The following is a 24,468-nucleotide window of genomic DNA, read 5'->3' on the forward strand; positions in this document are numbered from 1 at the left end:
CTACATTTTTTCCAGTTTGACTTCTCCATTTATACCTTAAAAAAGGAAAGACCCTGGAGTTTCCCTTGAACTGTACATTTTAGGTGTCTTGTATTAGATACTATTAAGGGAAGAATAACTGATATAAGAATTCTTAAGAATTAAACTTACATATTTTGGCAGAAAGGATCTGGACTTAGTGTCTAAAGCCTTAAGGTTGAGCTCTTTTCACTAACAGACCCATGCTGGGCTTCAATTTCTACACTTTTTGAGTAGTTTGAACCAGATGTCTCTGAAATTCCCTCCAACATCCTAAGCTCATTTAAGACTTTTGATGTGATGTAATGATTTATTTTTTTAAAGGTAGATGATCATAAACTCCTCCCTTGAGCCCCACTTTTCAGAGAACTTTCTTTATATAGGTAACTCCTATCAATCATTAAGGGAACAAAGAGATACAGTGTACATAGAACAATTGATATTCCAAAACTTTTTATTCTGATTTTGAAAGGCAATTGGAGACATAACTCTCCTGTAAAGATCCAGGTTGTAAAACAAAGTATATTATAGTCTTTATAGAGCTCTTATAAACTGTTCTTCCTCTCCCTTGGACTGCACAATTGATGACAATCTGAGATCTAGCAAAGTGCCGGGGCATGTTACTGAAAAACCAGGGTTTCGGTCTAGGTCCTGCTGCTCACCGCACAGAAAACCAATCACTAAGATGACAAGTATTGCCAAGGAAGAAGACTTTAATCGGGTGCTGCAGCCAAGGAGATGGGAGTTTGGTCTCAAATCCATCTCCCTGACTGACTAAAACTAGGGGTTTATATAGCAGGGAAGACATGGTTCAAAAGCAGTCATAGACTCCTCCACATGCAATTCCATGAACTAACACAGATAAGCACACACATTAAAAAATGCAATAAAAACAGGCACCAGAACCAAGCAAATCCTCACACTGGAATGGGTGCATTTATTTTTCACAGTTATTGTTAATTCCATATGAGTTGTTTGTGTATTCAGAATACTTGTTAAATTCAAAAAGAAAGAGGCCCTCAGACCAGGATTAGCAGTCAATGGAGTATAATGGCAATGAGATAGTATGGAAGTTGAAATTTGAAATTCTGCTGCAAAATGGTCCTGGAAAGCATTCAAGCAATTATCCAGCTAAACCAAAAAGAAAAAGAATTTCTACCATACAATTAAAAATAAAGGCAATGTTGAGGTAAATGGTCCAGATTGCCTTTCATATTGATTAAATTGCCTTCATGAATATGAAACTCTGCTTTGTCCACAGCCAAAGACTAATAAAATCACAGGATGTCAGAAGAGAAGGAACTATATAGATCAACTTATTCCATCACACCATTCTGTAGATAAGAAACCTGAGAGTAGTGTTTAAAGGATTTTAAGATGTAGAACAGAACCCAACTAGAACCTAAGTCTTAGAACCTTCTAGCTAGTTCATTCCAATTTACACAACATGAGTTAACTAATAGCTCATAAGGAAGAAAGATTAACATTAAGGGAAGAAAAGTTACGTTGAAAAACAAAAGAAGGAAAATATGGTTGTTTCATTTATATAGTTTGTTATCACTTTGAAACCATTATGTTAAATACACTTAATACAAAGTTTTAGAAAGTTTTATAATGCCACAAAGAAGAAATGCCGTATGCTGAATATGTTCTAAAAATGCTAATCTCTAAATACAGACTTCTTGAGGATTTGTTTTTCTGTGTTGATTGATATTTTATATCCATTCTTTAAAAACCAACTGGCAAGAAACACAAAATCTTTAATGTCTGGAATTCTGATTTTTATATTTTAGTAACATTTATTATAAATATTCAATTAAAATAATTGTCTTTATTTAAAACTATATCTTTAGAACAGCTGTAAATAAGTAGACAAACCACGACACCTTTTTTTCTTTTTTTTTTTGAGACGGAGTCTCGCTCTGTTGCCCAGGCTGGAGTGTAGTGGGCACAGTCTCGGCTCACTGCAAGCTCCCCAGGCTCACGCCATTCTCCTACCTCAGCCTCCCGAGTAGCTGGGACTACAGGCGCCCGCCACCATGCCCGGCTAATTTTTTTTTTTTTTTTTTTTGTATTTTTAGTAGAGACGGGGTTTCACTGTATTACCCAGAATGGTCTCGATCTCCTGACCTCATGATCTGCCTGCCTCGGCCTCCCAAAGTGCTGGGATTACAGGCGTGAGCCACAGCATCCAGCCCAAGGCACCTATTTTTAACTCACCCTAATTAAATGTCCCAAACTCCCTAATGCATTTAAAGAGAGTATAGAGAAAGTGAGCAAATGAGTGTGATTGTATATGTGACCTCTAAACTTTGAATAATGCATCCTCAGATGTTTGATAATGCCTATTATGGTCCTAAATGCTAAATGCACTTAAAAAGGAAAAATAAGACTGTCTGAAGAATAATTGTTATGCCCAAATACTGTTAAAAATTTTAAAGTTGATGTTGCCCAGGAAGATACCAAGGAGAGTCGAGCCCTCCACCCGGCTCACCCCAGTGTAGGTGTTCTTATCACACTTGTCTATGGATCTTCAACGAGGAAAGGAGGGGACATGGGATCTTCCACTACCAAATCTGGAAAGCTCTTCAACATTATAGTCATCACGCCTATTTTACAAGGAAGAGAACATTCACAATTTCGTATCTAATGACAAATAGCTCAGTGGCTAAGATCGAAGCCTTCCACCTCCCAGGACACATTCAACCTTTTCTCAATATATCTCATTCTCATATTTTAAAAATATAAAGTCTTATAAGTTGGGCAGTACTTTTCCAATAAAGTCAAATTTTTAAATTTTTTTATTTCATAGAAAATCTGAGAAAATCAAACACAAAATGTTTTTGTAAAATATACTTTCATGTCATAAGTTTAACATAAAAATCTAATCTGATTAATGATACCTCGCTACATTTGTCATACTGAGGCTAAAGCCTTGGACTTTACATAGAAAAGTTGTAAATGTGGATATTTAAAGGAAATGTCTCTTCACTCTTTAAAATATCTTATTTTAACTAGAATTCAACCAAGGACTCACTGGAGCAGTTAATGGAATATACTGTACTTTATTTCCATAATCGAAGCTTTTTTCTTACCGAGGTTTCCATCTCTGTTCCTCTCCTTTGGTTCTGTTCCTTAGTTTATTCCCTTCAATAACTCCCTCGCTCAGTTATAAGATTTTTTTCTCTATCATCCAACTCCATATCTTTCTACCTCCTTGTCTTCCCATTTTATTGTTGTAAACAACCTTACGAAGAACATTTTCATCTTCCAAGGACCCTTCCAACAATCAAATCTTCCTCTTTTGTGGGAATGCTGCCAAACCACTATCAAATCTTAACGTGTTGCTCATCCAAGTTCCTGCCTAGTGCCACCTGTGATCCCTTCACAATTTCTTCCCTGAACAGAAGCTACTACTTCCCATGCAAACTGCCTCCAGCCTGGACAAGCAACAACTGAACCAACAAACCAACCCAAACCTGTGTCTGTTTATAGAGCTACGACATCAGCCATGTCAGGAAATGGAGAGTCAGAAAACAATCTCGGTTATTGACTTACAGTAGGTGCTTGACAGGACTGTTTCTGAGTACCCAAAAGGTATCAAGCACACAGTCCTGACAACAACTCTGTAAATAGAAATTTTCTCCATGTCACAGTTGAGGAAACTGAGGCCCAGAGGTCCTTGGAGTGTAATTTTGGCCAGTCTCTGTATTATTTTTATTTATTTATTTATTTATTTATTTATTTATTTATTTTTTGAGATGGAGTCTTGCTCTGTCACCCATGCTGGAGTGCAGTGGCATGATCTCAGCTCACTACAACCTGTGTCTCCTGGGTTCAAGCGATTCTCCTGCCTCAGCCTCCCAAGTAGCTGGGATTACAGGCACCTGCCACCATGCCCAGCTAATTTTTGTATTTTTAATAGAGATGGGGTTTTCCCATGTTGCCCAGGCTGCTCTCAAACTCCTGAACTCAACTGATCCACCCACCTCAGCCTCCCAAAGTGCTGGGATTATAGGTGTGAGCCACCACACCTGTCCTGGCCAGTCTCTTTAAATGGAGTTAGCCCACCACTGAAAATTATGAAAGAGTTGTATAGCATTTCACTTTAATGTCTCCACAAGCCATGTTAGTCAGGACCGCCTCCTGCCATCCACAAGGACACTCTGCCCCTCCTCCTCCTGTCTCCTCTCTGATTCTCCGACCTCCACTCCACATATTCACCAAGGGCTCTCTTGTATATTAACCTTTTCTCACTAGACCACTTGAGACATTCTTTCATAGGAAAGTGATACCATTATTCATGCCCCACCTTTTAAAGATAGATTAGCTGAGAAATCATGAAACTGGCCTTGCTTTCAACTAATCAGTGTTGAAACTGGAATTAAAACCCATTGAGATGAATGGAACACACAAGCTAACACTGAAACTTCGTATTCTTTCAACTACTCCATGGGACAGTTATTCGCATCAGTTCCTTTTTATATCACACAGAAATTTCCTTTTGAGGTTTTCTTTAAAGAAATTAAGAGCCATAGCAATTACTATGTTAAGAATTAGAGTAATAATAAATAGCTATCATTTTATGTAGTAAGTATCAAGCATGAGCTATGTGTCTTACAAATATCTCATTTAATCCTCATAAAAATTATTATGTAGGTACTTCTGTTATATGTCACTTAACGATGGGATATGTTCCGAAAAATGTGTCCTTAGGTGTTTCATTGTGTGAACGTCATAGAGTGTATCTTCACAAACTAGATGGTATACCCTCCTACACACCTAGACTATATGGTATAGCCTATTGGTCCTAGGCTACAAACCTATACAGCCTGTTACTGTACTGAGTACTATAGGCAATTGTAACCATAAGTAAGTATGCGTATATCCAAACATAGAAAAAGTACAGAAAAAAATGCCATATTATAATCTTAAGAAACCACTGTCATATATTTGAACTGTCATTGACCAGAATGCCATTAATTGATGTATGACTGTATTATTTTTATATTATGAATGACTATTTTTTTGCCTTTATTTTCTTAAGTATATAAACTTCACTATTAAAGAAGTGTAACTCTGACAAGATCTCTTTGAAGGCAACATGCAGAATCTCAAAAGGCCACATGTAGAATATTCAAAAAGTGTTGAAGTTTCAAAAATCTTCTAATATTTTAAATGCCTAATAGACATAAAACAAAAGGTAAGTGGAATTTAAAACATATTCAATTTGGGGACAATTCTTTTGAACAATTATATATAATACTTTGATTTTTTCACTGTCATAAAAAATGTCAACTATCTACCATAAATGTGCAGGTAAACTGGCTGAAGGAGAAGTTTGTATTCTGCATTTATTACCAGATGAGTTCAATTTCTGTCCTCCCTAAAATCATGGTTATCAACCTTAAGTTTTAAAAACAGAACACGGACTTTATGAAAACAAAATATTTGAATGAGCATTAAAAACATTGTTCATATTTATACATCCACAACTCACATTGCCTTAAATATAGATTAGATTATACTAAGGGCTCACCTTACAGCTGTTTCAACACAGGCCTAGTGAAATGTGTTATTGTGAGTAAAGGGGATGGGTAGAGGTTTTAATACTGACAATCAAAATTGAGACTGACATAGTCACCAAGTAAAGAACATGCCATAATTTAAAATTAGTCAATGAATAATTTTTTTAATTATTGAAAATACAATGGGCTACGAAGATACATGCTTGATATATTTCCAGTCTAAATGCATAGCATGACGTCTTTGGCTGAACCACTTAAAACTGCCATGTTAAAGATCAAAACGATCACTTCTCCGCCTTTTGGCTAAGATCAAGTGAAGACTGAAACATATTAAATACTATATTTATAAAAATAAATTAATGAACAAATAAACACAGAGTGGAGAAGGAAAAACCTCTTCCTTACAGTACAATGCCAATCAACAAAAGTAAACAGAATGATGGAGTTAGAAAATCCCCAATGAATGCGTGAACGTTTGAGGAGGATTAGGATATTTACATGGTTTCAAAGTAACTCTCCACAAATTCCTTATTACTTATAAAGGATAACTTTACAATAGAATTTTAGAGTGGAGAAACTTGGCAGATACCACCTGAATCAGTGATGCAAGTTACCACCAACACTGGGACAAACTAATATATTTTACCTCCTGTTAGGATTATCTGCGAAGGGCAAAACAGCACCCATCACTTCTGTGATATTTTTTATAAAAAGCATAGCCTGACTCTAATCATAAGGAAACATCAGGCAAACCCAAACTGAGAGTCATTCTGCAAAACAACTGGCCTGAACTCTTGAATAACAAGGTCAAGAGAGACAAAGATAGGCCAAGAAACCGTTCTAAATCAACAGAGACTACAGAGACACAAATATAGAGCATGACCCCAGGTTGGATGCTGGGCCAGGAAAAAATTTTTCTAAAGGATGTTGTTGAGACAATTGAGAACATATGAGTTTGGACTATGAATTAAATAAGAGCATTGTATTAATGTCAGATTTTCTTATTTTGTAATGGTTCTGTGGGTAGAAAAGAGAATATCTCTTCTTAGGAAATCTTTTCTAATTTCTTCTTATTGTCTTACGAAATACAAATTATAGCATTTAGAGGTAAGAGGGCACAATGTCCCCAAATTATATCAAATAGTTCATAAAATGTACAAATACATGTAAATACATAAAGAAATGATAAAGTACATGGGGCAAAATGTAAACATTTTATGATTTATCAAAATAAGTACAAAGAAGCTTATCTTTAATATCATATGGCTCAATCTAACATCCACATGTTTATTGACATATATAATCAACTAAAAACCACTTAGGGACTAGAAACACTTACTAATATGATCGCAATTAAAAATACCTAAGAACAAGTATGTGAACCTGAATGAAATACAAATCAGTATATAAGTATGCTGAATACAATTGTCATAGTTGACATTCTCACAGCAAACATTGCATTTTTGAAATTATATTCTTTCAATAGCTTTTTGGCCCAAGACATAACACAGGAAATTATTTGAATGCTTGAGTGGGACATCTCCAAAGGACCAATCACATCATCACTGATATTGCATCTCACTTTTTACTTGAGTTTGTTGCATGGAAAAGTAATTCATCTCTTTGAATATGTTTCATAAGAAAAACAGAACTCTTCTAATTCTCTTCCAAGAAACCCTGGGGCAATAGTAAATTCTGCATCCAAAATTTGAAAGGAATTTTTTACAACTTGAAATCCCACCGTCAAAGTGTAGCCTGGAAAATATTTTTATAAAACTAAAGGTAGAACAAATAATGTAAAGAAAAAAAATCCGGATGCATTCGTACGCTAGCCAAGCAACATCAGATTATTCAGCACTGTACCTATTGATCTTCTTAATAAGCCAGACCCTGACACACTGCACCACATGGCACTTAAGATTCAGGGTGGACACACTGCAACATCATTAAATATTTTCTAAAATGATCATTCATTTTGTGGATGGATTTAATGCTAAATCCATCCGAGCCCCCAAAATGGAATTTTAATCTAATCCTAGTAATAATGCATTTTTCTCTAAAATCTTCAAAAACTAAACAAAATCAAGCCAAAAATGAAAATTGTTTAAAATAAAAGTCACCCATAATCTCGGCATGTAAAGATAACACCATCACTGTTAAAACTTTGGTATGTTTCATACCAGCATAAACCCATACATGACTCCATCCATCCATTTGTTTTTATATACAAAATAAGTGCTTTGTATACACAGTCTGTACGTTGTTGGTTTTCCAACTCCAAACATTTTCATATGTTTTTACGTATTTCTTTCATAACAATTCAAATGAAGATGCTATGGAAAGTGGACCAATATCTTCAAGACACAGAAAAGCAGCCAACCAATGGTGGAGGTGTTTAAGGACAGTTCCCAAGGTTTGTTCACCTGTGGGAAAGTCCAAAGTTGAACCTCAGTGTTAAGACTGCACAGGAATGAGAAGGTTCTTCTTCCTTCTCCTTCTCCCAGTAAGACCGCATGGTGTACTGATCCTTACTGTTAGGGAATGCACCGTAACTCTGTTTGTACTGGGACATTCACATTCTTTGTGTGGTCTGTCTTGGCCCTAATCTCAATTACCTGGTGAGACTAGAATGACAGTTTCTAATTATTTTTTTCAGTGTAAAAAACCCATAGACCTATATGACCATTTCTCCTATTCCATTAGTCCTATTTCCATTAGCAGTTGCTACTAAATAAACTGCCCATACCACAATCTGGTCTTAGCTCCTTTCCAATAACACCTCCCTCCCGTCTGCATCTCATACACCAGTCACTCTGTTCTAGCCACTGCTGCCTGAACATGCCATTTGTTCTCCCTTCCCTATATATCATTCCTTGCTCCAAAAATATCCTTTGATCACTTCTCTGTATATTGAAATTACACACACACATACACATATATACACACACACGCACTTATGTGTATCGTGATCTTCATTACCTTTCGTCATCCTCCCAATGTGAACTATATTTCCTTCCTCTGTTCTCAAACATTTGTTGTATCTCAATGCATTTTTTTCTTTCAAGCTTGAGTCAGATTTTGTTTTTGCAATTTTTAATTGTATCATTCCCCATAGAGAAACTTTCCTGAGGGCACGGCTGTGCTTTAGTCTTTCCTATTTCATGCAATTTTAAAATAGTATCATGATCATATTAGAAGTTTATCTAATATATGAACTGAAGAACTAAAACAGGAGAATATCAAGAGGCTTTGGACAAGCTAAACAAAGTAAACTACGGAAAATCTGCTATATTGTGGGTCAGTTAATTATTCAAAGAACCAAAACATGGCTGAGATAATTGTACAACTTTGTGTTTTAAGGGGAAGACTGGCCTCAGCATATATTTGTTTTATTCTAAATTTTAACTACTTCCAGAAACAATATTGGCCCAGAAGACATCAACTTTTTCCGAGTTTGGTATTGGCTTCACCAACCATTAATATGTTTCACTTTCCAGTGCCCCTATACCAGAAGGACTACATAATGTACAAAATGAAAATGTGGGGCCATTTGTTTAAGGTTATTCAGGGCTTCAGGATGTTCACAGCAGAGCATTAAACCAAGTACAGGGCCCTTCTAAGCACAGGAGTCTGCACAACCACACATGTCATGTGAAGCCAGTGCTGTCTGTATAAAATGTCTGTCTGCAGTTTTCCATTCTTTCAATTGAGGTAAAAACCAAAGATTCTCACACAAAGTGAATACAGACTTCCTAAAACAATCCAACAAGAAATGGAACAGAAAGAAGGGCCCAGAATTTTCAAAATATTCCTAGACCTATTATGCAAGTTTCTTTCTTGACCTGTGCACAGAATTCTCTGGGTTATATTTCCTTTATATATCTACTTTTAAATTATATTTTTGTAGGTTCCCAGTCATGCAACAAAATGCTTGCAAACCTTTTCCAAAAGGAGAGTGGGGGTGCGTTATTACATTCCAGAAACAATATTGGCCCAGAATATTTTGCTTTTGCTGATGAATATTTTACTTTTTTGGTTAAGGACTCTGTTCATCTAAGTTTTAGCTATTTTTTTTTAAATGGGCCTTCTCCGACCATCTCAGTCTTCAACACAGGACAATTCCTTTTGCAAAAAAGTGAAATGTATAGAATTGACTCCAGTCCTATAAGACCCATTACTTTCAAAAGCATTTTATCTCAGAGTGCAGCCTGCAACATGAGCCTTTCGGTGGGGTGGGGACTAAGGAGGGAAGTGGTGGAGAGGGAGGATGAGGGAGATCAAGGCCAACGGGAGAGCCCACCAGAGCTATGCTGGGTTATAATTAATGGCATGAGGTTACAACCTGCAGCTGACTTCGGTTACAGTAAAAGGTCAACCTTCTGCTGCAATTTGCATTTACTGATTTGGAGTCTGCTACAGTCTTCTCTTTCCCTCACTCCCTCAGGGTTGGCTGTCTAGCTGATCCCTGTTGCATGCCTTTCTTTATTCCAACAAAGATTCTTTTTTCACCCTTTACACAAACATGCATCCACACCCATACCTCCACCCTCACCCACGTTCCCACAGAGGCACACGGATTCAAAGACTGGACACTTCCACGGCTTTTATTGTACATCAGGGGATCCGAGGCTTTTGGATGCTTCTGCCAAAACCGACTGCATTCTTCTGCCAAGTCCTCTCCCTCATCCAGTGACATTTGGAAGGACAAAGGGGGCAAATTCAAATAGGCCTTATTTCCAAGTGGATAGTACATTCTCTGGTGAGCATAAAGCAATTTTGGTATCAAAATCGTTTCATCTGAAATACTCAAGGGCTTGAGGAATCTATCTCTGGTGGAACTGAAAATGGGGAAATGATATTGGAATGTAGGAGAGGGTAGGGAAGTAGCTAGCTGGAAAAATCCTGAAGCTATATGCTGCCAGAGCTGGTGCAGACATTCCCCAGGGAGCTGGGTATTTAGGAGACTGGAGATCTCTCTCACCACACCAGGTTCCCTCACCATGCTTTACTCTGAAACCACTGCTCCTCCACAAGACAGGGACTGCTTGCAGACATCAGCCTCCTGTCAACTCCCTTGCCTGCTCTTATGCTGGCAGGTGTACATATCCCTCTGCTTCTTTTCATTCCCACTCCACACCCTCCAATGAGTGCCCTGCCTTCTATAGCTCCCCGTAGCCTTTATTCAAATCACTGCATCTTCTATCCCAAAGATTCCCAAAGTCCAATCACTTGTGTAGCATCTTTCATGACTTGACATTTTCAGTTATCACTGACTGGTATTGTTATCAATATTTTTATTTTAATGACTCACTTTCCTTAATACACACATTTTTAATGGAAAGTTTTCATCACTGCTAAATGGAAACCGATATCACTTGCAAGCAATAGAACAGAATATTAAATGCTAGATTAGAATAATAAAAAGGCATTCATTCAGGGACCTCTAAAAGCCATCTCGCCTGTATCTATGGTACCCATACCCCTCTTTGAGAAGCACTGCTCTTACCAAGGCCTACTTGAGACAACTAGCTAGTCTAATCAATTTATTTGAGGAGAGGTGTATCCATCAGTTGTATTTTTACCTAGTATCCTTCACAGATAAACAGACACATATGCCTGGATGCCTTCATGGTCAATCCAGAAAGGAAAAAAGTCAAAATTCTCAGAATTTAGCTCCTTTGACTGAAAACTCTCCACCTCCCTTCTCTAAGCTTCTCTCAGAAAGACTGAGGAATGAATGAATGAAGACATCTATGTTGCAATACTGACCAGAGCCAGTGGAAAGTACATTTTGGATCTTATAGCTATGCAAGCTACCCATAAATATTGGGCTTTTCATTTAATTTGCAAGTATTTACTGAATTCAAATGAGGACTTAGACCTGGTACCTAAGATCTCATTAGAGATTCAGAGTGAGAATTCACAGCTTAACAAGAGAATTGGGCTTAGGAAATCCAAACCCCTTTAGTTTTCTCAAATTTGGTTACATTCACAGGTGAATAAAAGGAAGATCATTTCAAAGTTCAATTCATGTGCAATCTTCAGATTTAAAATTCAAATCTCAAGTTCATCTCAAGGCTTCCTGCTACAATGGTAGTCAACATAGTGACACCAAGAACAGCCTGATCTTACTCTCAGCATCCAGACCTTTCAGGGACTGGGATAGCTGGCTGATGGATGGTTTACGGTCGGAAAAGGTGGCTGCACACATGGATGGGATACACAAGGTGGCTTGTAAAACTTATGAGCCATGCTCTGTAGTGTGACCTGGGTGAAGTATGGTTAGGCTCCAGAGGAGGGATAATTAAAAGCAATTAAGTGCTGCTGGAGAGATGGCAGAATTCAGCTCAGACTTCACGGCTGTGCAAACCCAGTCTGGGTGAAGGCCAGAAGCCCAAAACCCTCACCTTATTTACTTAAGGAAAAAAACCAACAGATTATGAAGCCATGAGTGCCATCAATAGGACAACATTTAATAGGGTCTGAAAAATATTTTTGCGCCCCCGTGCATCCCAAGGAGCTGCACTGTCTGCCTATCAGAGGTACACCCTGGGGTTCCTTCACTATGTCCTCATACAATGCCAATGCAAAAGAAAAGAGTCATTCACATCTCAATGCATTCTTTTCTCTAATTTCTTGGCCATCACCTTAAAGAGAAGAGCCTCAGGGAATGAGAGGACAGAGGAAAGTGGTCTGGAGAAGAAAGTGGGAAACACAATATTTGAGGACAGAGAGAGTTCTGTGTAGAAACGCAAGAGGTGGGATTCTGGGGTATAGGATAGGACAGAGTCAGAAGAATCCCGCAAAACCAACGGGTGGGTGCCGCTTTAGGATCAGGGCCAACATAAGCCTAATGGAGTGCCTTGGTTTCCTAGGCAACTGGGAATAATAATACTCAGAAGGTGGTTACAGGCACCTGGTTAAGTGCTAGCCTCTCTAATAGTCATCTATAATTACCATTTTATTACTCTTAATATTATAACCTACTTGATATGTTCTTAATTCCTCTTATAACTGTCTTCTTTTTCTTTGGGCAGAAATAACAATTGTTATCATGTCATCCCCTCCACAATGAAGTAAGGAAGCATAAGTCCTGGATTAAGATTAAATGTGCTCAAATGTATGCAGAAAGCAAAAACACTAGGAATTCTGAGTAACCGGGCTCTTCACTGCCTGTATCCCCCCAGGAAAACAAAAGCAAAGCTTTTACACACAGGATGTTAGTTATTACCCATCTCCACCTGCTTAATGTTGAAAGGGTGGGGGGAAGAGGTGAGTTTTTCCCCCACCCTTTCAACATTAAGCACTTGGAGATGGATAATAACTAACATCCTGTTTGTATATCACAACCATGAGAATATATTGTTTGTTGTATTCCTTCTAAGAAAGGCAAAAATAAGATTTTATCTAGTCCTACCTACCCCAGGCACCTCAAAGAACTTCAAAAGCTTTCAAGAAGTGTCAACAGAGAACAGAGTTTATGTCTTATAAGCATAAATGAATTTCCTTCTGAAACGAACAGGAACAGTCTTACATGAGAAGGCTATTTTCAATATCAATTATATATGGATCTATGGGAGGATGTATATGAATATATACATATATGAAGCTAAGGGAAGCCTGTGAGAATAAGTGGGTCTGTGTTTACAAATTGAAGGAAAAATAGAGAAATAAAGTCACTTTTGAATGTGTCTTGTTGTCTTGAAGAAATAAAAAGGAAAAGCACAATACAATTCAATCAGGACTCTATCAACCCCAAGTCCTCCTTACTTTACCTACTAAATGTTTCTCCAATTCATCCAGCTCTCTTTATCTTTCACTGTCAACATCCTACAAAATGGTACAATTGATTCTTTCATATTATATTCTAAATGCTTCCTAACTCATGTCTCCACAGTTACTCTGATTTTACTTATAATCAATTTTCCACATGCCTGTTGGAGAGATACATTAAAAATTCAAACCCGCTCATGTCATTCCCTTGATTAAAACCTTTTCTGTACACCTCAAATTTCTTAAAGGCCAAGACTCTCCAGAAAGCACAGCATGACCCAGGCCCTGTCTACCTCATCAGCTTCCCATACACCCTTTGCTGACCACTTGCTGAGCTCCAGCCCCCTGGACCTGGCTTGCTCTATCTCCCATTCCCTATTCCCCTTCACCTAAAACTCACCTCCTCAGGGAAACCTTCTTGACATCCCATCCCTGGTCAGGTCTTCCTAAAAGTAGCTTATACTTCTCCATCCATAGCACATATTACAATTTAGAGTAATTATAAAATTAATTATTGAATATCTATTATTCCCTGATAAAAGACCTATGAGAGCCAAGATGGTATTTTTTTGTATTCCCATTTCCACAAAACCTAGAGAAGTGCCAGGTACCTAGTAATAGTCACTACTTATTGAGTGCTTACTACATGCCAGGCACTGTTTTAAGAACTTACGTGCATTAATTAATATAACCCTCATCACAGGCCTATAGGTTAGGTGCTACTCTTATCTTCATTTTAGACACAGGGAGGAGAAGAAATTTGCCAAAGATCTTGTAGCTTTGCACAGTGGAGCTGGAACTCAAATCCAGACAGACTCATTTTATCTCTTAATTACAATTCCACATTACCACATAGTTGGCATTTAGTAAGTATTTGTTAAATCAATGTGTTTGTTTGACAAAAGATATTTTCCAAGTAGCTATGGTCAGACACTATACATGATATGGGAGAGCAAGCAGCAAGGAAATAGAGAGTCCAACCCTCATGAGGTGTGTACTTTAATTCTTAGTTGTGTTAAATGCCCTTTTATTTTTTCATCGTTGTCGATTCTTATTTTTCCAGCACAGTTCAATTGTTAATGCTGTGCAGTATTAACTGTTTCACAGATCTGTCCCAGAAATTTTGTCTTTGGAGAGTTTTGTAATTGAATGCCATATTCGTAATAGTTCTGAGCTTTTTTGAGCCTTGCACATTAAAAAAAAAGAAGGGTGGGGAGGAGACAGGAAATTATAGAGTGCTCATTGACAAAAAGAAGCATAATAGTCCATCGGACACTTCTTTTTTTAGTGCCCTAAAATTGATAAGTGATATTGAACAACACTGTGGACGAACTTGTACACCTGTTTGCAGAAGATGCAAGAACAATTTAGTTTACACTCAGCAGAAGCTCAGAAAATTAAATTCCATTATAATTTTATGATAGCATTTTTATGTCCGGAGTTCTGTCCCAGAGCACTACCCAGAGAAGTGCATGGCCACTATAAATAAGAAGACCTTTATTAGTATAGTTTGCAACATTTTTGAAAAGCTGAAAAATTATGAATCCTCTTTACCAAAAACAAGGATCTACGGGTTAAAACACAAACATACATAGCCACACCTCCAGATTCAATTTTGCATTTAATTGCAGTGAGTTGATAAACCTGAGGCCAATTTATGGACTCAAAGGACCCCAAATTAAGAATTTCTGATCTAGAAGAATACACGTTTACAACGTTAAAGTTTAATAGGCAAATGAGTCATTAAGTTGACTCAAAAACAGTGGAGTTTTTTAAATGTAGATTCTGATTTAGTAAGTCTGAGTTGGGGCCTGCGATTTGGCATTTCTGAGAAGCTCTCAGATTATGTCACTGCTGCCAGTCCATAGATCATATATTGAGTAGCAAGGCCTGAGATAATCTCTCAAATGTCAGTGATCTCAGTTCGGCTTTTGATAAGACTGGGGAGTCAAGGATTTGAAATTGAGTTTCCTGGTCAGTACCTATAATCCAAATTTTTAGAAGCATTCGTTAAGAAGTAATTCATTTGCTGTAGACATTAAGGTTGCTAGAAACACTGAAAACATGACATGATTTCTCACTCTGTCCAAATGCCTCAGCACTTGTGCACAGAAGTGGCCTTCAGGAGAATCTGCATACAAGGCTAACATTGTCTACATGAAGAATTTGGATTTGCTCAAATACTTGAGTACTTGGTAAAGGCACGAGTGTTTTCTGCCATAAGATAGGGTATTCTTTGGCAGCTGTAACCAAAGGTTTTGGTATTAATCCAAAAAAATTAATATATTAAATCATTGATAGACACCAAATCAATAAAGTAAATTGAAAACTAAAATTGCTTTAGTTGTAGGTGGTGGGACGTGGAAAGGGAAAGCCAGAGATTTCTGGAAACTCCCCAGCTATATTTGTACCTTGAGGGTGCCTCTTGAAAATCTTAAGTAAGCTCATTGGAAACATGTCTTGAAAAACACTGCAGAATGACCTGAAATGAATGGTTTGGATCTATGTTACTAACAGGTCACCTCAAGAGTGTGAGTATCCATTTCTGAAGGTTTGCCCAATATATTCACTTCAGGGATTGAAGAGTTAAAGAAATCTGGATTTGAACCATCCTTTTCACACTCAGATCTGCTACTCTAAAAGTCTATGAGTCCATTCTTTTCTAACTTAATTAGGACCTGGAATTTAAGTGCAGTGTCAAGCATTTTGATATTTGTCCATCCTTCCCTCTCCCAGGGTGAAGAGGCTTTTTTTTTCATGGCCAGAAGTCACTGGTAATGAGTTAGATAATTATATTCTATTGTTGAGAACCTAGACCTGCTCATTCTTTTCCTCACTTTCAATTGTGTGTGTGTGTGTGTGTGTGTGTGTGTGTGTGTGTGTGTGTGTGACAATATTAACTTCACTTAACTGCTGGAAATTGCAGGGAGCAGACAACTGCAGCTGAAAGAGGTGAAACAAAGAAAAGAAGGAAAAAAAGAGGAGGGAAAAGCTTTGCTGCAGAGTTTTTTTCTTAAGGGAGGAAGAAAAAGATTTTGTATTTCATAACACAGAGCATTAAAATGATGTAGCCCCACACAATGAAAACCTTGTGTTTTATTAAAGTGAAAAGCCTTGCTCAAGGCCTCCATTACTCATTTCCGGATGGAATGGCAAAACTTCAAGTTTGAAAAGACTCAAGTAGCTACAATCAAACTTTCCCTGGTAGCAGCTGATAACACAGCACTTTCCAGAAATCCATTTTGTAGATTCTGCAGATCAGCTATTTTCAGGACTCTCAGAGGCTGAACTCTGCACAAAAGGGGTAGCAGCACAGAAAGCCTGGAGATACTTAGTGCTGTAAGAATGTTTTCCACTACTTTAGGGTGGAAACTGATGGGAAATTCAATGGGTGGGTAAAAAGGTCACTACCATAATGCGAAGACCAATGTTTCAGTATCTCCATCCCACAACTCAAAAGGACCAAGGCAAAAGTACCCAAAACCCTGTTACCCCACTCACCTTCCCCTTCAACCAGAAGGACGGGGTTCAGAGACTCAGGGGTAGACGTCAGGTAGCAAACAGCAAATCTCCTGCCAGTTCCTCATTTATGCTGGAGAACAGGCACCTGGTCTTCATTAACATTGCTGCGGTAGTTAATGCGTTGCAGGTGTGAAAGTGTGTGGCTGAAATCTGACAAAACACCTGTCTTTTGTGGCACCATTAGATCTGCCTAGTGTGGGACACGACCCCCTCGGGTGTGCTTTCTCCTGCCTTGAAAGCCACAGTAAGCATTGTCCTGTAATTACAAAATCAGAGTCATCATTGCTGGGAAGAATTCCTTAACAAATTATACCTAATTAGTCTGAAATTACCTTTAATTCATGGTGAAACCATAGGCTTAACTGTGTTCTATAACACCTTCCTTTTTATCTTTATGCAAATATGATTATACACTATCAAACTGGCACCACCAGGCATAAAAAACAGCTGCAGCTAGTTCTTTGGTTACTAAATGGGAACTGGACGCATGCCATTGATTATGTTTTCTGAAATGCTGCATCAAAAAAAATAATAATAATATCAGCCAGTTCCTTCTCTGTGAATTCTAGTTTTCTTCCCCACCCACAGAATCCTACTTGAAAGCTGTGAGATTGATCTCCCTTGCCCAACCCCCTACCTCCTCACCACATTTTCTGCAGAGACGTGTGTACATCTTGCTGCCGCCCAATCTTTTAGAATGTCATTAAGTGTCAAAACATACCTCATTTTATTTCTGATCACAGCTTCTTATGATATGGCTTATTTGGCTCTCATTCTCATCTCAAATCTTCACAAAACTTTTGATTCAATGCAATTTGATTCATGTACTGTGGATTAAAAAGTTACTCATGTAGCAGGCATTGATCTACGAGATTTACATATACTCTGTTATCTAATCCTGGCTGCAGTCCTATCCACTATGTACTACTATTATTATCCCCTTTTTGCAGATAAGGAAACCAAGGCATAGAGATGTTATATATCTTACATGAGGTCAGGAAGCTAGAAGAGACAGAGCCAACAATCTTGCTCAAGCCATCTGTTTCTAGCATGCTCTTATCCCTTCTAATAGGCATTCCCAATGATGTCCAAGGTCTTTCTAATTGACACTGATTACTTTCAATTCTCCTATCACACTTCTGAGCACAACATTGTAGGAAAATTTTTCCAGTTAGTTGGCATATAAAGGTGAAAAGTTTCATTGTCATCAGAGAAAGAAATCATAGCTGACTCCTCCGTTGAATCCATACAATTTGTGTAGCAATTATATTTCCTCCTCTACTCCAATGAAGGCATTTTTAGAACCAAAGTCATATTTTCTGTTTCTTTAAAAACAAAAACAAGCTGAGTGTATCATAGGTATTTTAAAATATGCATGTCTTCTAACTGGATCATACTTAGGTAACTTTTGCTCTGATACGAAAAATGTTTGAGATGCTTTCTCAAATTAAACCAGAGTTTAATTCTTCAGAAAGCAATTAAAAATATTAAATGCTTTTAGATTTTAAGGTCTGTTGCTTCTTTCTGCATCTTCTAGAGAAGTTCCTTGAAAAATTAGCATCGGCTTTACAACAGTCATTCCCATCCTACAAAGAATGACAGACCATATTATTCCTAAGTACGATCCAGTCCCAGGTTCTCTGAAGATTGTTCACTTTGAAAATGAACCCCAGACCACATCTAGGTTACTTTCCAGATAGGATTTTGCAAGTATATAAGAGATTAATTTTCTTGAACAATTTCAGGCTTGGTATGCAAAGTCAAACATGTAATCAGGTGCAGACGTTGTACCAGACACCTCAGTAGGATGTCTTGAAGTTCCCCTGGAATGTAGTGGTGAACTGGTTAAAAAAATAATTATAAGACTAGCGGTAAGGTTTTGGCTGAATACTACTTTTGTCCAGTATCAATCAATTAAAATGAAAGAATTTTTATGGTTGTTCAAACAAATATCCGGGTCCATCTGTGGCTATTTTATTTATGGCATTGCTGTTTTTCACCAACAACAAGTTGGCTAAAAATCAGGTTTTAAAATCTTAATTAGAATCAAAACATGATCTTCTCATTTAACGCCTCCGTTCAAGTTCATGTTACTGCTGTGTAGAAAACGGAGTCTGCTTTCTGGAGGCAGATCCTGACTCCTGCACCATGGTAATCTACACAGCCGGCCCACAGCTGAGGGATGAGCTGTATTTCTTTAAGTATTTTTATTAGGCTGATTCCCACAAGTTTAAGAACACTGTAATCGGAGACACTGCAAGGCCACATTAAAATAAGAGGAGGAAACTGAACTCTCATTCAACCCGTTTCCATGAAGTTTAGAATTTTCAACTCATTTCAAAGCAGAGGATGTTCCTTTTCACATCCTTCATGTTTTGTAAACACTGCAAGTGCTACTGGCTTCGTTTTCATTAGTAGGAGCCACCAGCTTATGTTTATTATTTTTAATTATTAGACCTTCTGCAAAGAGAACACTACTGCTGACAATTTATATTAGTGATGATGCATCCTGATTGGTCAGAGGTGTTATTCCCTCCTTCTTTCCTCACTAGTAATGTTTGTGATTATTTATAACCTCCACATTTTGGTGTGTCGTGTTTTTCCCCCAAACAATTTTCTGTGACACCAGTTAACAATGCGTAATTACGATAACCAAGGCTGGGTCTATCTGATGCCGAAGCATCCGGTTGGAAGGCGAAATTTAGTCAAACATCTGAATGTTTGAGCTGCATAGGGCCAAACATCTGGATGTTCCCAAATATTTTCTCAAATATTTGGAAACATCCACAGATTTCTCCTTGTGTAGACAAAACATCCAGATGATTAACTGAATGCTTCTCTTTTCATCTGGATATTTGGCCACTGAATTTTCTTTGGGTTCTCTATATAAGAATATCTATCCAGCTGTTTTACATAGCCATTGCTACACCAAAACAAGAAACACAGGGAAAAAACACATCCTATTGCTCCAAGGCAAGTCTATCTAGTTTTCAGTAATTGTGACAAACACCACACTGAAGCATAAATTACCTCCAGAAGGAGAAATCTTTCTGTAGTCTCCTCTTATCCACGGTTTTGATTTCTGTGGTTTCTGTTACCTGCGGTCAACCATGGTCCAAAAATATCAAATGGAAAATTCCAGAAATAAAGAACTCATAAGTTTTACATTGCTCACCATTCTGAGTAGTGTGATGAAATCTCACACCATCCCACTCCATCCCGCCTAGGATGTGAATCATCCTTGGTTCAGTGTATCTGTGCTGTCTACACTACCCACTTGTGAGTCACTCAGTAGCAGTCTCAGTTATCAGATCCACGGTTGAGTTATCACAGCACTAGTGCTCAGGTTACCCTTGTTTTACTTCATAGTGGCTCCAAAGTGCAAGAGTAGTGATGCTGGCATATTGTTATAATTGTTCTATTTTGCTATTATTTATTGTTGTTGATCTCTTTCTGTGCCTAATTTATACATTAAACTTTATCATAGGTATGTATGTATAGGAAAAAACATAGTATGCATAGGGTTCAGTATTATCCATGGTTTCAGGTATCCACTTGGAGCCTTAGAATGTATCCCCTATGGATAAGGGGGAACCACTGTATATCCTAAAAGCTAGGAAGAAAAGAGTTCAAGTGTCAAGTCTCAGAAAAGGAAATTACTTATCCAGTGTTAACACCTTGCAGTAACTATTTTTGTTGGCACTAATAGTAACTTCTGAAGCTCCAGTCTCTGTGTTCCTTCCCCAGCCATGTTCTTTGGGCTCCCTTGAATTGTCCTCCAACTAGAGATTGACAAAGTTAGACTAGAAGCTATTAAAACATTCAAAACTCTGGTTAGATGATACTAACTCAAAACTGTACAGATACATAACCTAAAAAAATTGCAATTTTTGTAAGCAATAGCCTCTCATCCAGAAGCTGGTAGCCACACTACAACATGTGAACTCTTCCTGAAATAGTATATAAAGATTTATACAAATAGGCATTTTGTGCAGAGGAGGGAGAGTACCTAGAGATTTCTCTAGTCTCTCAAGGGCTGTTTTTCAATGAGTACCTTCTCCTTAGTAGGCATATTTTTAATACTTTCTAAAATTATTTGTGAGTTGGGAGAATCGATGCCTCTTATTGTATGTGGTTGTTTGTGATGAGTTCTAGCAACATTTTGTTTCCTTCGTTGGGCTGGTTTCAAAGATAACATGAAAAGCATTTAAAGATATCAAAGACACTTTATGTGTAGTCACCCCCAGCATATACTCCCTCTTAGCCAAGGATTGTTCAATTGCAAGAAACTGTTAGCCACTCAAGCTTGTGAAGAACAAGGAGTTTAGCTTAAGGAGTCAGAGTAATCTCTTGGAAACAGATGGCAGGACATACAAACAGGCCTCACAAGGGACTAGAACTAGGACCTGCGATGCCCAGAGGCACAGGGGAGCCACTCTTCTGGTCTCTGCCTCTCTGAGACCACATGGTCCCTCATCTCTCGGCCCTCTGCACTATTCTGTAATTCATCTAATCTCTCTGTCTTGGTTCCTCACATGTACAATGAGGATAATGATAGTATCTACCTTAAAAGTTAGATGTGCCTATCAATGAGTTAGTCCATACAGCGTGCTTAGAAGACTGCCTGTCACATAATGAGCACACAATGAATGGCATCCATTGTTATTGTTACTATTGATTATTCTCTTTGCAGACCAAACTCTCCTGCCTGCTCAGCAGTACATATGGCTTTTGAATAGCCACACTCAAATGACAGCCCCTGTTCCCCAGGTTTGTTTGTATGATTCTCATTCTCATAGTTAACTAACTGCTGATTCTGAATCCCAATTTGAAATTCTCGAGAGAGGATCTAATGAGCCCAACTTTGGGCAGGTGTGTACCTCTGGCCCCATCAGCTGCTGCCCTGCCCAGAGATGCCACAGAGCTCACTCACCCCTTCATGACCTGGTGGGCAAACTCTTAGGGAAAGAAGAGTGGGTCAGGGACGAAACAGAAGGCATTCTTATGCAGATAGCAACATTTTAAACTTGCATTATATGGCATTAAAGTTAGAACACATAGCTGAGCGTAAAGGAAATAATCTATGATCTCTCTACTTAGGGAAAATTTTATTTTTAATATTTTAGTACATATTTATCATGCATTTTATACATATTTTTACCTATTTTATAAATGTAAAATGATACTCTGTATTTTGTTTGCAGTTTTTTTCTCACTAACAAACTGAAATTTTCCATTAACTATTTAGTATTATTCTACAATATGTTTCTTAATGACAGGATGGCATTTGTTTAAATACATATAAAATAGAATATATTATAATAGCCCATCTTTGAACATTTAGATTATTTTCAATTATATAACTTATAACTGGTGCCCTCACATAGCATCTTTTGCATAAATTGTTATTCATATGGTTTTTTCTTCACTTTTAATTAAACAAGAAATAAACTCATGTATGGCACTTTATTTTCCATTTTTACTTCTATTGCATTATCTAGGAGTTTGTCTATTTTTATTTGTTTTTATCAAAGAGCCACTTTTTGGATTTATTATCAGTCTATCAATCATTTGGGCTGGCTTCAATGGTGAGCTGCTAATTAAGTTAAAAATAAAAGTCAAAGACACAATAAGATTCAGGACATGATGAGGATATCTATGGAATATATAACTCTTTTTAAAAATGAACTTAATGATCTGTTTTGTTTAGTTCAAACTTTCTGAGACTGCAAGCCTACTTTGCAAGAGGAAAATCTCCACAGCTATGTCATCTACCTGCTTATAGGGTGTAAAATTCAATCTATGACTAACAAATCAATATTGTAAATTATATTACTTGGATACTCATTTGTCTTACATTTATTTATTTAGCCTGCTCTGTGGGTCAAATAAGAGGAGAATCTTAATAAACAGTCTTACTACTATTGAACCTGACCATTTCTCCTTGTTTCTCTGACATTTTCCACATAATTTCTTTCACTGATATATTCAGATTCTATTACAGTATAAATTAATTATAGATTGAAACTTTAAATACTTACACTGCCTTTATTTGTCCAATATATTATTACTTGATGTAAATTCTATTCAGTCATATACTAATATTGCTAATCCTTGCTTTTATGTCTGAACGTGACCAAGATATTTTTGCCTAAACTTTTATTTTTGTACCTTTTGAGTTCCTTTAATATGGCAAATATATATATATATGCTGTTTTAATTCTGTCTGATATCTTTTTTGTTCTGCTCAGAATTTAATTCATTTATAACTAATCAGAACTGATCAGTTTTGCTAAAAGTTTAGTCGTGACTCTCTTAGAAATGAACACATATTAAGATTTTATTTAACACCCAAGCAAACCAGACAGATGTCCTAATCAGTTCAAAAGAGAATCTGAAGAACAGATACATTTGATCAGGAATAGACATTAATGTACAAATGGGAGCAAACTGGTTTCTTGAGGGGAAGCTGGAGGTAGGTCAATTGACCAGGTCAGGGCAGAATTTGTGTTTATAGACAAGAAATATTTAGCATTGCTATCAGTTACCAACAACTTACAGTTGTGAACTAACTCAAAGACAACTAGCGGCTAGAACTAGATAACTTACAAGGGTGTCCTGTATGGAGCCAAGCATAGTTTTTCATTAAAGCTCATATTTCCCTGAAGTTGTTTTTCGGTCATTCTGAATGCTTTCTGTTTTTTCAATTCTTTCCTATTTTATTTGTTTTCTATTTTATTCAAGTTATGTTTCTCCCTCTCTTCCATCTAGTTATTTATAGGAAATTAACCTCTCACTATGGTTGAACTGTTCGACTGTGCATTCTAATTTATTTTCCTCTAATTATTAACTTTAGATTACAACTTTTACTTCTTCCTACTAGTTTTTGTGATATAGTCCAGAACTTGAGGTCTAGTTTCTTGCCTTCAAATAATCACTGTCACTTTAAAATATGCATATTTTCAAGTACTAACATTTTATTGTTTCCTTAATTTATAATTATTAAGATTTATGTTTTACAGTGATAGCCCTCATCTTTCTATATTTCATTACTTCCCTGTTCTTGAGTGTGTGTGTGTGGGTATACTCATTTCTTAGTCAGAAAAGTTTTGCATATATTTCTAAAAGAAACATATGTGTAATTCATGTATTGGCAGTCATTGTATATCCAATAAAGTGTTTCTGGTACCTTTGTATGTCAACAAAACCTATATATATTATAGAAATCTTTGGTGATAGTCTTTTTTTTCCCATTTAAAACTCTGAGGAAATCACTTCATCGTCTTCTAGCTTCTCATTACAAAGGGAAAATCGAAATCTGAAACTGGATGTTTTTTATTCATTCACAGATGACCAGTCTTGTCTGCTTAGACGCATGTCAGATGGGTTTTTCCCCTTGAACTTTAAGACTTTCATCAGCATATATCTATTTGTTGTTAATTTCATTAATATTTTTTGGGATTTTTTGAGCTCATTCAGTTTACAAAACCAGACCTTATTCATTAGCCCAGCCAAATGTCATTTAATTTTTCTGACTATTGCTTTCTTTCTGTTTATGCTGATATCCCCTTCAGTAACAGTCACTCTCATGATGTCAGTAATATATCCTCCAAATGACTTACCTCAG

At 37.2% G+C, this 24,468-nt stretch overlaps 2 long non-coding RNA genes across 3 annotated transcripts in view, besides 1 other annotated feature; one reads left to right on the forward strand and one right to left on the reverse strand.

Annotated features, from left to right (window-relative positions):
* The window catches only part of LOC101929507 (uncharacterized), a 203,870-nt gene that overhangs the window by 106,618 nt on the left and 72,784 nt on the right, over nt 1-24,468 (reverse strand). Inside the window, exons 5-7 of one of the 2 annotated variants that reach the window (XR_001746620.2) lie at nt 19,872-19,939; nt 17,563-17,668; nt 16,821-17,097 (exon numbers count right to left, since the gene is read on the reverse strand). This is a non-coding gene — a long non-coding RNA (uncharacterized LOC101929507). The remainder of the gene's footprint in view (nt 1-16,820; nt 17,098-17,562; nt 17,669-19,871; nt 19,940-24,468) is intronic. The other variant, XR_001746621.2, reaches the window with a different exon arrangement.
* Nucleotides 5,131-22,767, forward strand: LINC00583 (long intergenic non-protein coding RNA 583). Its single transcript, NR_038194.1, has 3 exons — nt 5,131-5,221; nt 21,535-21,611; nt 22,552-22,767. It is a non-coding gene; the product is annotated as a long intergenic non-protein coding RNA 583 (long non-coding RNA).
* Nucleotides 16,708-17,524: an enhancer, noted in NCBI's record as "VISTA enhancer hs305". NCBI's record gives its function as "enhancer in: limb[5/7]" and the evidence as "EXISTENCE:transgenic organism evidence [ECO:0001131][PMID:17130149]".

Source organism: Homo sapiens, chromosome 9 (genome assembly GCF_000001405.40).
Source record: "Homo sapiens chromosome 9, GRCh38.p14 Primary Assembly".
Lineage (NCBI taxonomy): Eukaryota > Metazoa > Chordata > Mammalia > Primates > Hominidae > Homo > Homo sapiens.